This window comes from Homo sapiens, chromosome 19 (assembly GCF_000001405.40).
Source record: "Homo sapiens chromosome 19, GRCh38.p14 Primary Assembly".
Taxonomy (NCBI): domain Eukaryota; kingdom Metazoa; phylum Chordata; class Mammalia; order Primates; family Hominidae; genus Homo; species Homo sapiens.
The window spans coordinates 16,719,117-16,731,693 of NC_000019.10; the positions used below are offsets into that span (position 1 = coordinate 16,719,117).

Genomic DNA, 12,577 nt, shown 5'->3' on the forward strand with positions numbered 1-12,577 from the left:
GCGTGAGCCACCATGCCCGGGTGATTTGTGAGTTTTTGAGACAAAGTCTTGCTCTGTCGCCCAGGCTGCAGTGCAGTGGCAGGATCTCGGCTCATTGCAACCTCCAACTCCCAGGTTCAAACAATTCTTGTGCCTCAGCCTCCCAAGTAGCTGGGATTACAGGCATGCGTCACCACGCCCAGCTAATTTTTCTATTTTTAGTAGAGATAGGGGTCTCACCATATTGGCCAGTCTGGTCTTGAATGCCTGACCTCAGGTGATCCGCCTGCCTCGGCCTCCCAAAGTGCTGGGATTACAGGCATGAGCCACCGTGCCCGGTCTTGGAGTTTTAATGGTAATTAATCATGGCTAACATCTCACGGGCCCTTCCTGTGATGTAGGTGTAGTGTTAGTCTCACTCTCTATATAAATGCTTTTCATTGTCTCACCAACACAGGAAGTTAGTGAGAAAATTCAAGTGCAGAGTAGTGAAGCGTCACAGGCAAGGGACTTCACCTTTCTGCATCTTGTTTTCTTCATCTGTGAAACAGGATCATAATGTCTGTCTCTTGGGGTAATAATGTGGACTGCTAATGCCAAATGCCAACCAACTGCACCTCCTAGACTGTCAGCAAATGGCATCTTTTACGAGGAGCCGTATCAGCCTGGCACACAATAGTTAACCACTAAGTCTGGGCTGAATGCCCGGCTAAGCTGGTGCCCTAGTGCAAACAATCGCTTTCATTATCCCAGTTGCTGGGAGAATTGGGCAAGGAGAGACCCATAAAATACCTAAGACGAAAGTTACTAGGATAGCCAGGGGCTTGTCTTCCGGGTGGCGCCGAGGCCAGGAAACTGTCCTCTCTAACCTATTTCCCCAGAGGAGTCTAAATTGGTCGTTCAACTACCAGCAAAGGCTAAAGAGAGGCTGGAGCCCCCAGGACAGCCAGAACGCTGACACTGCAAAGGGCCTCTGTCCTTACTGGGGAAGCCCAGTCCTGCTCAGCTGTCTTCTTCAGCAACAAACAGAAGTCCAGAAAGAGAAACAGTTGTGGAGGAAGCTGTTGTGATGATAATTTACTGAGCACCTACTATGTGCCAGGCACGCCAGCCTTACCAGACAAGATCCTTGGGCTCATGGAATTCACTTTCTCGTGGGACAGACAAACAATAACATGTAGAAACATATCAGCTGTTGGTGAGTACCATGCAGAAAATTAAAATAAGGCGATGGCATTGGGAGTGACTTAAGGGGTCACTACGCAATGGGATGGTCAGAGACAGCCTCTCAGGAGGAGGTAGCATTGAAGCTAAAATGTGAACAACATGAACAGATGCAGCATAGAGCACTAAAGTACAGGACGTGCAAAGGCCCTGAGGTTGAAATAAGCTAAATGCATTAGACTAGGGGGTTCTCGAGTAAGGGGAATTCTGCCCCCTAGGGGACATTGCAATGTCTAGGGAGACTTTTTTTTTTTTGAGACGGAGTCTCGCTCTGTCACTAGGCTGGAGTGCAGTGGCGTGATCTCAGTTACTGCAAGCTCTGCCTCCCAGGTTCACACCATTCTCCTGCCTCAGCCTCCTGAGTAGCTGGGACTACAGGTGTCCGCCACATGCCCGGCTAATTTTTTGTATTTTTAGTAGAGACGGGGTTTCACCGTGTTAGCCAGGATGGTCTCGATCTCCTGACCTCATGATCTGCCCTCCTCGGCTTCCCAAAGTGCTGGGATTACAGGCGTGAGCCACCGCACCTGGCCGAGACTTTTTCTTTTTGAGATGGAGCCTTGCTCTGTTGCCCAGGCTGGAGCGCAGTGGCACGATCTCGGCTCACTGCAACCTCTGCTTCCCGGGTTCAAGCGATTCTCCTGCCTCAGGCTTCCGAGTAGCTGGGATTACAGGTACATGCCACCGCGCCAGCTAATTTTTGTATTTTTAGTAGAGATGGGGTTTCGCCATGTTGGCCAGGCTGGTCTCGAACTCCTGGCCTCAAGTAATCTGCCTGTTTTGGCCTCTCAAAGTGCTGGGATTAGAGGTGTGAGCCACTGCACCCAGCCTAGGGATACTTTTTAATTGTGACGACTTTGGTGGTGGTGGTGGGGGTGTGCTGTTGAAATCTAGTGGGTGGGGGCCGGAAATGCTTTGCAACATCCTAAAATGCATGGGACAATTGCCACCACAGAGGATGATCTGGCCTCAAATGTTTGTCATACTGAGATGGAGGAAGTCTGGGAGAGAGACTAGGAAAAAGCCTAGAGGTGAAAGGCAAGGTCAAAGACTCTTATCCTCCTGCGATCATCAGCAGGCAGTAACCAAGGGAGCGTGGCCAGGCGCTGAAGTGAATTCGGGTCCAAGGAGCCTGCTGGGACCCAGGAAAACGAGAGAAGGAACAGAAATTGTGGTGGAGGCAAATTCAAGATCAGAAGATTGGGGAGGAGGTGCTAAGAGAGGTCTGGAGAGATGCTGGGACCCAGAACTGGGGCCTCAGTGAGATCAGCAGGCTGCAGCTAAACTGTGGTATCCAGGTGAGTTGTGGGAAGGTGGCTGGGGGGCCGGGCTGGGTTTATGGGGGCGGGGTCCGTGGAGGAGAGGGGGTCTGACCCGCACTCGCTCCCTGACTCTGCCCTTCTAGCTGGTGAGAAAGTTCTCACTCTAAGCTGCAGTTTTCTCATCTGTTGAATGGTGACGCTCAACTCTATTTACTGGGCCTTTACTGCTGAGAAAATAATTAACTCTGGCTGCCCGTGGTGGCTCATGCCTCTAATCCCAGCACTTTGGGAGGCTGAGGCAGGAGGATGGCTTGAGGCCAAGAGTTCAAGAACAGCCTGAGCAACACAGTGAGACTCCCGTCCCTACAAAAAATAAAAAACTTAAGCCTAGCATGGTGGCACATGCCTATAGTTCCAGCTACTTGAGACGCCGAGGCAGGAGGATGGTTTGAGTCCAGGAGTTCAAGGCTGCAGTGAGCTATGATCATGTCACTGCACTCTAATCTGGGCAATGGAGTGAGACCCTGTCTCTTGAAAAAAACAACAACAACAACAACAACTAAAAAACTAGCTAGGCATGGTGGTGTGTGCCTGTTAATCCCAGCTACTCAGGAGGCTGAGGTGGGAGGATCACTTGAGGACAGGAGATGGAGGCTGCAGTGAGCCACAATAGTGCCACTGCACTCCAGCCTGGGCGACAGAGCAAGACTTGACTTTTTTTTTTTTTGAGACGGTCTTGCTCTGTCACCCAGGATGGAGTGCAATGGTGCGATCTCAGCTCACTGCAATGTCCGTTTCCTGGGTTCAAACAATTCTCCTGCCTCAGCCTCCCTGAGTAGCTGGGATTACAGGCATGAACCATCACGCCCAGCTAATTTTGTATTTTTAGTAGAGGCGGGGTTTCTCCATGTTGGCCAGGCTGGTCTCAAACTCCTGACCTCAGGCGATCCGCCCACCTTGGCCTCCCAAAGTGCTGGGATTACAGATGTGAGCCACTGTGCCTGGCCGACCCTCACTCTTAAAAAAGAATTAACTCAGCAGGCCTGAGTTGTCCATACCCCACACATTAAAGCTGTAGCTCTTGACCTGCTCCTGGGAAGTGACCTCTAAGCCCTTGGAATGGGATAAGGGTGTCTTTGTTTACCTGGAGAGCCTTGGCTCACACTAGATACTAACAACATGACTTAGAGAGGGAGCTTTAAGTCACGTGATATTGGTTGACCTCTGGAGGGGCTGGGGATTAAGGTCAGCTATGCTGGTGGTCAATCATGTCTACGTGACCAACTCCCAATAAAAACCCCGGACACCAAGGCTCAGGAGAGCTTTCCTAGTTGGTGGCAAACTGTTCATGTTGTCACACATCACTGCTGGGAGATTTAAGTGCTGGCCATACAACTTCACTGGGAGGGGACGACTGAAATCTCACACCTGGTCTCTTCTGGACCCTGCCTTGGATGCCTCTTCCTGTGCCTGATCTTATTTTATTTTTTGAGGCAGAGTCTCTCTCTGTTGCCCAGTGGTGGCTCACTGCAGCCTCAACCTCCTGCGCTCAAGTGATTCTCCCATCTCAGCCTCCCAAGTAGCTAGGACCGCAGACACGAATCACCATGTCCAGCTGATTTTTTTGCTGTTGTTGAGATAGGGTCTCGCTCTGTTGTCCAGGCTGGGGTACAGTGTTGCGATCTTGGCTCACTGCAACTTCTGCCTCCCAGGCTCAAGTGGTCCTCTCACCTCAGCCTTGTGAATAGCTGGGACTACAGGTGTGCACCACCACATCTGGCTAATTTTTAAATTTTTTGTAGAAATGGGGTTTCACCATGTTGCCCAGGCTGGTCTTGAACCCTTGGACTCCCAAAGTGCTGGGATTACAGGCGTGAGCCACCAAGTCTGGCCCTGGATAATTTTTTTATTTTGTAGAGACACTGTCTCCCTGTGTTGCCCAGGCTGGTCTTGAACTCCTGGGCTCAAGCAATCCCCACCTCAGCCTCTCAAAGTGCCGAGATTACAGGCATGAGCCACTGTGCCTGGCCCCTTGGCTGATTTTAATTTATATCCATTCATCATAACCTATGAGTACCTATTTTACAGCTTTTTCTGTTTTGTTTTGTTTTGTTTTGTTTTGTTTTGTTTTGTTTTGAGATGGACTGTCCCTCTGTTGCCAAGGCTGGGTGTGGTGTGATCTCAGCTCACTGCAACCTCTACCTCCTTGGTTCAAGCGATTCTCGTGTCTGAGCCCCCCACGTAGCTGGGATTACAGACGTGCACCGTCATGCCCGGCTAATTTTTGTATTTTTAGTAGAGACGGGGTTTCACCATGTTGGCCGCGCTGGTCTCCGACTCCTAACCTCAAGTGATCGGCCCGCCTTGGCCTCCCAAAGTCCTGGGATTACAGGCGTGAGCCATCTCGCCTGGGCTATGACACCATTTTTAAATTCTCTGAGTCCTAAGGAATCATGGAGCTTGAGGGTGCTCTTGGGGAATCCCTCAATGGCAGAGTCTGTCCTGGGTGGACAAGGCAGGGAAGGGAAGTCAAGGCAGAGAGGATAGTAAGAGCAAAGACACAAAGGTTTGAAAATACAGTTGACCCAGTAGAATCAATATCACTGTTTTGTTGAGAGCTCACTAATGCTGGGCATTTTATAGACCTATCTCCCAACCGCCTTGTTGATGTTTTGTTCAAGGTGGATATTTTCGGCATTAATTTTGATCTGCTAACACATTGCACTACCTCATATATTGCTGCAGAGACAAGCGCCCTGAATGGCTCTTACTTTCATTTCACAGACCATGCGGCCGATGCCCTGGGAGGGAGACCACTTGCTTAAGTCCTCCAGGAGGGCGATGGAGGAGCCGGCATTCCAACCAGGCTCACGGATGCCAAGGTATACGCGTGTTCTCTCTGCCTCCAGCGGTGGTTTGCTACTGTTGTGAAGAGGTTGGGCAGGATTCAGGTCGCCAGGGCATTTTCAATAATGTCAGATCATGGCTGGACGTGGGGCCTCACACCTGTAATATCAGCACTTTGGGAGGCTCAGGTGGGAGGATCGTTTGTTGGCAGGAGCCTGCCAAGTTCCAGCCTTGAACTCAACCCAGTGAGACCCCATTTCTACAAAAAAAATATTTTTTTTTGAGACGAAGTTTCGCTCCTATTGCCCAGGCTGGAGTGTAATGGCGCCATCTTGGCTCATGCAACCTCTGCCTCCCAGGTTCGAGTAATTCTCCTGCCTCAGCCTCCCAAGTAGCTGGGACTACAGGCATGTGACACCATACCCAGCTAATTTTTTGTATTTTTAGTAGAGATGGGGTTTCACCATGTTGGCCAGGCTGGTCTGGAACTCCTGACCTCAGGTGGTCCACCCACCTCGACCTCCCAAAGTGCTGGGATTACAGGCGTGAGCCACTATGCCTAGCCAAAAATTTTTATTTATTTTTTATTTTTTTATTTTTTGAGACGGGGTCTCACTCTGTCGCCCAGGCTGGAGTGCAGTGGTATGATCTTGGCTCACTGCAACCTCTCTGCCTCCCAGGTTCACGCAATTCCCATGCCTCAGCCTCTCGAATAGCTGGGACTACAGGCGTGCACCACCATGGCCAGCTAATTTTTGTATTTTTAGTAGAAGCAAGGTTGGCCAGGCTGATCCTAGACTCCTAGGCTCAAATGATTCGCCTGTCTTGGACTCCCAAAGTGCTGGGATTATAGGCATGATCCACTGGGCCCAGACTCTACACAAATTTTTTTTTTTTTAATTAACCAGACGTGATGGTGCACACCTGTAGTCCCAGCTACTTGGGAGGCTGAGATGGGAGGATCACTTGAGCCCAGGAGATCGAGGCTACAGTGAGCTATGATCACACCACTGCACTCCAGCCTGGGTGGCAGAGCAAGACTCTGTATCACCTAACAACAAACCTCCTGCAGGCAAAGATAACTAGCTAGAGTTTATTTATTTATTTAATTTTATTGTTCATTTATTTATTTATTTATTTTTGAGATGGAGTCTCCCTCTGTCACTCAGGCTGGAATGCAGTGGCATGATTTTGGCTCACTTCAACCTCCGCCTCCCAGGTTCAAGCGATGCTTCCGCCTCAGCCTCCCAAGTAGCTGGGACTACAGGGGCTCAGGACCATGCCTGGCTTATTTCTGTATTTTTAGTAGAGATGGGGTTTCACCATGTTGGCCAGGCTGGTCTTGAACTCATGACCTCAAGTGATCCATCTACCTTGGCCTCCCAAAGCGGTGGGATTACAGGCACGTGATTGTAGCTCACAGCAGCCTTGAACTCTTGGGCTCATGCAATCCTCCCATCTCAGCCTCCCAAGTAGCTGGGACAACAGGCAGGCACCATCATGCCATAGCTACATTGTTTTTTTTTTGTTTGTTTTTTTTTGCTTTTTTTTTAGACAGAGTTTCATTCTTGTTGCCCAGGCTGGAGTGCAGTGGCACGATCTTGGCTCACTGCAACCTCTGCCTCCCAGGTTCAAGTGATTCTCCTGCCTCAGCCTCCGGAGTAGCTAGGATTACAGGCATGCACCACCAAACCCGGCTAATTTTGTATTTTTAGAAGAGACAGGGTTTCTCCACATTGGTCAGGCTGGTCTCGAACTCTTGACCTCAGGTGATCTGCCCACCTCGGCCTCCCAAAGTGCTGGGATTACAGGCGTGAGCCACAGCTCCTGGCCCATGGCTCTATTTTTAAAAAACTTTTTTTTGCAGAGATGAGGGCTCACTGTGTTGCCCTGGCTGGCCTTGAACTGCTGGCTCAAGAGATCCTCCTGCCCTGGCCTCTGGAATAGCTGGGATTACTGGAACAAGCCATTGTGCTCAGCTACTAGAATTGATTTTAAACTGTTTTCTTTCTTTTTTTCTTTTTTCTTTTGAGATGGTGTCTTGCTGTGTCACCAGGCTGGAGTGCAGTGGTGTGATCTTAGTTCACTGCAACCTCCACCTCCTGAGTTCAAGCGATTCTCCTGCCTCAGCCTCCCAAGTAGCTGGGATTACAGGCCTGCGCCACCACACCTGGCTAATTTTTGTATTTTTCATAGAGACAGGGTTTCACCATGTTGGCCAGGCTGGTTTGAACTCCTAACCTCAAGTGATCCACCCACCTCGGCCTCCCAAAGTGCTGGGATTATAGGTGTGAGCCACTGCACCTGGCCTAAAACTGGTTTCTCAGTTTTTCAACACTGCTGACAACTGGGAACAGATCATTCTTTGTGGGGGCTTCCTGGGCATTGTTAGATGTTGAGCAGCATCCCTGGTCTCCACCCACGTGATGCCAGTAGCATCCTCCAGTCGTGGCAACTGGAAAGGTCTCCAGACATTGCAAGTGTCCCCTGGGGGCTGAATGGTCCCCAAGTGAGAACTGCTGGTTGAAATAGTATGTGCGGTGCCTGGACGTGGAAGGACTTTGCCTCGTGGGAGGGGGTGGGAAGGGCAGAATGGGGTGGGACTTTCGTCAAGCGGTTGTCTTTCTTGTCTGGGCTGTGGGGCTGGGCATGGCTCCCAGCCTCTCCTCTGCACACCTGGGCTCAGGCTCAACTTACACGGGTAGGCCCCAGGGGACCCAGGTGTTCAAGAGGTTGGCTGGTCCCCGGGCCCCAATGCCCAGCACTGGGAAACCATAGTTGCTATGGTGACTACTGCGCTCTGAGGACGAGGAGCTGGGAAGAGGACTCCCGTGCCTAGAGGAGCCAACATCCAGAGGTCTTGGCGGGGAGGCCACTGTCTAATATCCCTCCATGAGTGCTTGCAGACCAAGGAAAGCAGTGGAGAGGAGCTGGTTCAGCTCCCCAGAGGCACTGGAGGTGGTGGGGGCTGCAGGTCACTGGGGGAGCCTCGGAAGGTGAAACTGGCTCCCCGTTCCTGATGGCCCTGCCCGGCTGGCCTACCAGGAAGGCTGCCTGGCTGCTGGCGTGAGGTCTCTGAGCCCCACGCCCTTTCCAGGGGAAGGGTCATCTTGGTGGGTGGGCGGCAATGAGCGTGGGCCCTCTCAGCCCGAGTACCCGCCGGCGGCTTCTGCGGGGTGAAGCCGGCCCCCTCCCAGCACCTCCACCCAGCGGTGTGACCATCTTCATCAGTTCCACAGTCTCAGGTAAGGTGCAGGGTATGGATGGGGGCTCAGAGGCAGGTTGGCACGCTCAGGCGGTGTCAGGGCAATGGGCACAGCTCATGGAGTCCTTTAAGAGACCTAGACGTGAACCAAGTACTGTGTTTCACGCCTGTAATCCCAGCACTTTGGGAGGCTGAGGCGGGTGGATCACTTGAGGTCAAGAGTTGAAGACCAACCTGGGCAACATGGCGAAACCCTGTCTCTACTAAAAATACAAAAAATTAGCTGGGCGTAGTGGTGGGTGCCTGTAATCCCAGCTACTTGAGAGGCTGAGGCAGGAGAATCCCTGAACCTGGGAGGCAGAGGTTGCAGTGAGCCAAGATCGCGCCATAGCACTCCAGCCTGAGCAACAGAGCAAGACTCTGTCTCAAGAAACAAAATAAACCAAAAACTCAAAAAGGAGATATTAGATAATAGCATGCAGCTACACAGCACTGCCTAACTCCACATTCAGTGAAGTCAGTTGGCAACTTGATATTAACCAGGGTGGAGCATTTAAACCACGGAAATTGGCAGAAAATACAAATCGGATTTAAAAAAATTTGTTTTGGAGAACAGAGTATTATGGAACATTTGCTGGGTCACTGCTCTTTTTTTTTTTTTTTTTTTCTGAGATGGAGTCTCACTCTGTCGCCCAGGCTGGAGTGCAGTGGTGCGATCTGGACTCACTATTACCTCTGTCTCCCAGGTTCAAGGGATTCTCCTGCCTCAGCCTCCTGAGCAGCTGAGATTACAGCCACCTGCCACCATGTCTGACTAATTTTTGTATTTTTAGTAGAGATGGGGTTTCACCATGCTGACCAGGCTGGTGTCAAACTCCTGACCTCAGGTCATCTGCCCCACTCAGCCTCCCAAAGTGCTGGGATTACAGGCGTGAGCCACCATGCCTGGCCACACCACTCCATGTATATGTGCTCTCATAGAAATTACATCCTGGTTCGGGGAATGGACACATAAATTAAGTAATTGCAGGCCGGGTGCAGTGGCTCACACCTGTAATCCCAGCACTTTGGGAGGCCGAGGCGGGCGAATCACGAGGTCAGGAGATTGAGACCATCCTGGCTAACACAGTGAAACCCTGTCTCTACTAAAAATACAAAAAATTAGCTAGGCGTGGTGGCGGGCGCCTGTAGCCCCAGCTGCTCGGGAGGCTGAGGCAAGAGAATGGCGTGAACCCAGGAGGCGGAGCTTGCAGCGAGCCGAGATCATGCCACTGCACTCCAGCCTGGGCAACAGAGCATGACTCCATCTCAAAAAAAAAAAAAAAAAAAAATAAGTAATTGCAGCTTGTGGGCCAGGTGTGGTGGTTCACACCTGCAATCCCAGCACATTGGGAGGCCGAGGTGGGAGAATTGGGAAACCTCTATGATGTGAATGCAGCTCAGGTAGTGACTCATGTGGGAGCCTCCTGGACCCTCTGTTTCCTCCTCGAGAAGCCAGACTGAGAACCCAACTTGATAGAGTTGCTGTGAGTGGCATACGATGTTACAACTAATATTTATGACCAATGTACTGTGTGTCAGGCTTAAAAACTGCCAGAACCTTGCCACAGCTGCATGGCCCTGTGTGACCGGACCCTGCTCACCTCCCCAACCTTATCTCATGTGGTCACTCCCTTGTCTACCTGTCATATCCACACCAGAATCCATAGATCCGGGAACCCACAAGGCCCTGGGGCCCATATCAGGACTATCACTCTCACGGTTCCCTCTTCTCCTTCTTATTCTGATCCTTTGGGTCTCAGTGCAAACACCCCGTCTTCAGGGAGCCCTTCTCTGCCCCTCGATGTAAAGTAGATTTGTCCCTCTGAAGTGGGCAGATTGCTTGAGCTCAGGAGTTCAAGACCAGCCTGAGCAACATGGCGAGGCCCCATCTTTACAAAAAGTAAAAAAAAAAAAAAAATAGGCTGGGTGCAGTGGCTCACACCTGTAATCCCGGTACTTTAGGGGGCCGAGGCACCTGAGGTGAGGAGTTTGAGACCAGCGTGGCCAACATGGTGAAACCCCGTCTCTACTAAAAATACAAAAATTAGCCCAGTGTGGTGGTGTGCGCCTGTAATCCCAGCTACTCAGGAGGCTGAGGCAGGAGAATCCCTTGAATCTGGTAGGCGGAGGTTGCAGTGAGCCGAGATTGTGCCACTGCATTCAAGCCTGGGCACAGAGCGAGACTCTGTCTCAAAAAATAAAAAAAGAGAAAAGAAAAGAAAGAGAGAGAGAAGGAAGGAAGGAAGGAAGGAAGGAAAGAAGGAAAAGAAAGAAAGATTTGTCCCTGTTATTCTCTAGCCCAGCCCACCCGTGTGTTTTCAATAGCACTCTTCACAAACTGCAAGTACTTTTTAAAACTATTTATGGGCCGGGCGCAGTGGCTCACGCCTGTGATCCCAGCACTTTGGGAGGCCGAGGTGGGCAGATCACAAGGTCAGGAGATTGAAACCATCCTGGCCAACATGATGAAACCCCATCTCTACTAAAACACAAAAAATTAGCCAGGTGTGGTGGTGCACGCCTGTAATCCCAGCTACTTGGGAGGCTGAGGCAGGGGAATTGCTTGAACCCAGGAGGCAGAGGTTGCAGTGAGCTGAGATCACGCCACTGCACTCCAGCCTGGTGACAGAGTAAGACTTCGTCTCAAAAAACAAACTAACAAAAAAACAAAAAAAAAACCCAAAATCTATTTATGTATTTATTTATTGTGCCCCTTGGTTAAGCATAAGGGGTACAATGGCAAACAAGATATAATCCACTGGTCACAGTGGCTCACTCCTGTAATCCCAGTGCTTTGAGAGGCCAAAGCAATTGGATTGCTTGAGCCTAGGAGTCTGAGGCCAGCCTAGAAAACATAGTGAGACTCCTTCTCTACAAAAAATTTAAAAAAATATATATGGCTGTGGTGGTGCCCCTCTATAATCCCAGCTACTCAGGAGGCTGAGGTGGGAGGATTGACTGATGCTAGGAGTTTGAGGTTACAGTGAGCTATGATTGCACCACTGCCCTCCAGCCTGGGTGATGGAGTGAGACCTGTCCCTTAAAAAACATTTTTTTAAAAATATATACAGGGCTGGGTATGGTGGCTCATGTCTGTAATCCCAACACTTTGGGAGGCTGAGGTGGGAAGATGGCTTGAGTCCAGGAGTTCAAGACCAGCCTAGGAAACATAAGGAGACTCCACAAAATAAATAAAATAACTGCCTATTGCGATTTTTTTTATTTTTCTTTCTTTCTTTTTTTTTTTTTTTTTGAGATGGTGGCAGCAGATGAGGCTTTAGCCGCAGGCCAGGCGCAGTGGCTCACGCCTGTAATCCCAACACTTTGGGAGGCAGAGGAGAGAGAATCTCTTGAGGCCAGGAACTCGAGACCAGCCTGGGCAACATAGCGAGATCCCATTCTCCACAAAAAAGGGGAAAAAAGACAAAAGTAAATCAATAAAATAAAAGCAGAGCTATGAGGCTGGGAAGAGTTCTGAGTCCTTTCCACTAATACCCTCCATGCCCTTCCTTGCAGATATGGATGCAGAGAGGGAAGCCCTGCAGAGCACTGCCTACCCTGAAGTGCCAGACCTTCTGCCAGAGGCACGGCTTGATGTTTGAGGTAACTGGAAGTCACTCCGGGCTCCATGCTTTTTTTATTTTTTTTTGACACGTAGTTCTTGCTCTGTCGCCAGGCTGGAGTGCAGTGGTGCGATCTCGGCTCACTGCAACCTCTGCCTCCCGGGTTCAAGCGATTCTCCTGCCTCAGCCTCCTGAGTAGCTGGGACTACAGGCGTGCGCCACCACGCCCAGCTAATTTTTGTATTTTTAGTAGAGACGGGGTTTCACCATGTTGGCCAGGATGGTCTTGATCTCTTGACCTTGTGATCTGCCCGCCTCGGCCTCCCAAAATGCTGGGATTACAGGCGTGAGCCACTGAGCCCAGCCCCATGCTTTTTTTTTTTTGAGACAGAGTCTCGCTCTGCCACCCAGGCTGGAGTGCAATGGTGCAATCTCAGCTCACTGCAACCTTGGCC

At 50.6% G+C, this 12,577-nt stretch overlaps 1 protein-coding gene across 9 annotated transcripts in view; it reads left to right on the forward strand.

Moving 5' to 3' along the window:
- NWD1 (NACHT and WD repeat domain containing 1) overlaps positions 731-12,577 on the forward strand; it is a 98,117-nt gene continuing 86,270 nt past the window's right edge. For 5 of the 9 annotated variants that reach the window (XM_011527929.2, XM_024451466.2, NM_001290355.3 and 2 more), the window contains exons 1-4: positions 731-1,177; positions 2,279-2,501; positions 5,250-5,347; positions 12,076-12,162. In XM_011527929.2, the coding sequence (XP_011526231.1) occupies positions 12,082-12,162 (81 nt within the window). In that variant the 5' untranslated portion in view covers positions 731-1,177; positions 2,279-2,501; positions 5,250-5,347; positions 12,076-12,081. Of the gene's footprint in view, positions 1,178-2,278; positions 2,502-5,249; positions 5,348-12,075; positions 12,163-12,577 lie in introns of those variants that run through there. The other 4 variants (XM_011527931.3, NM_001007525.5, XM_011527930.3 and 1 more) reach the window with 3 other exon arrangements.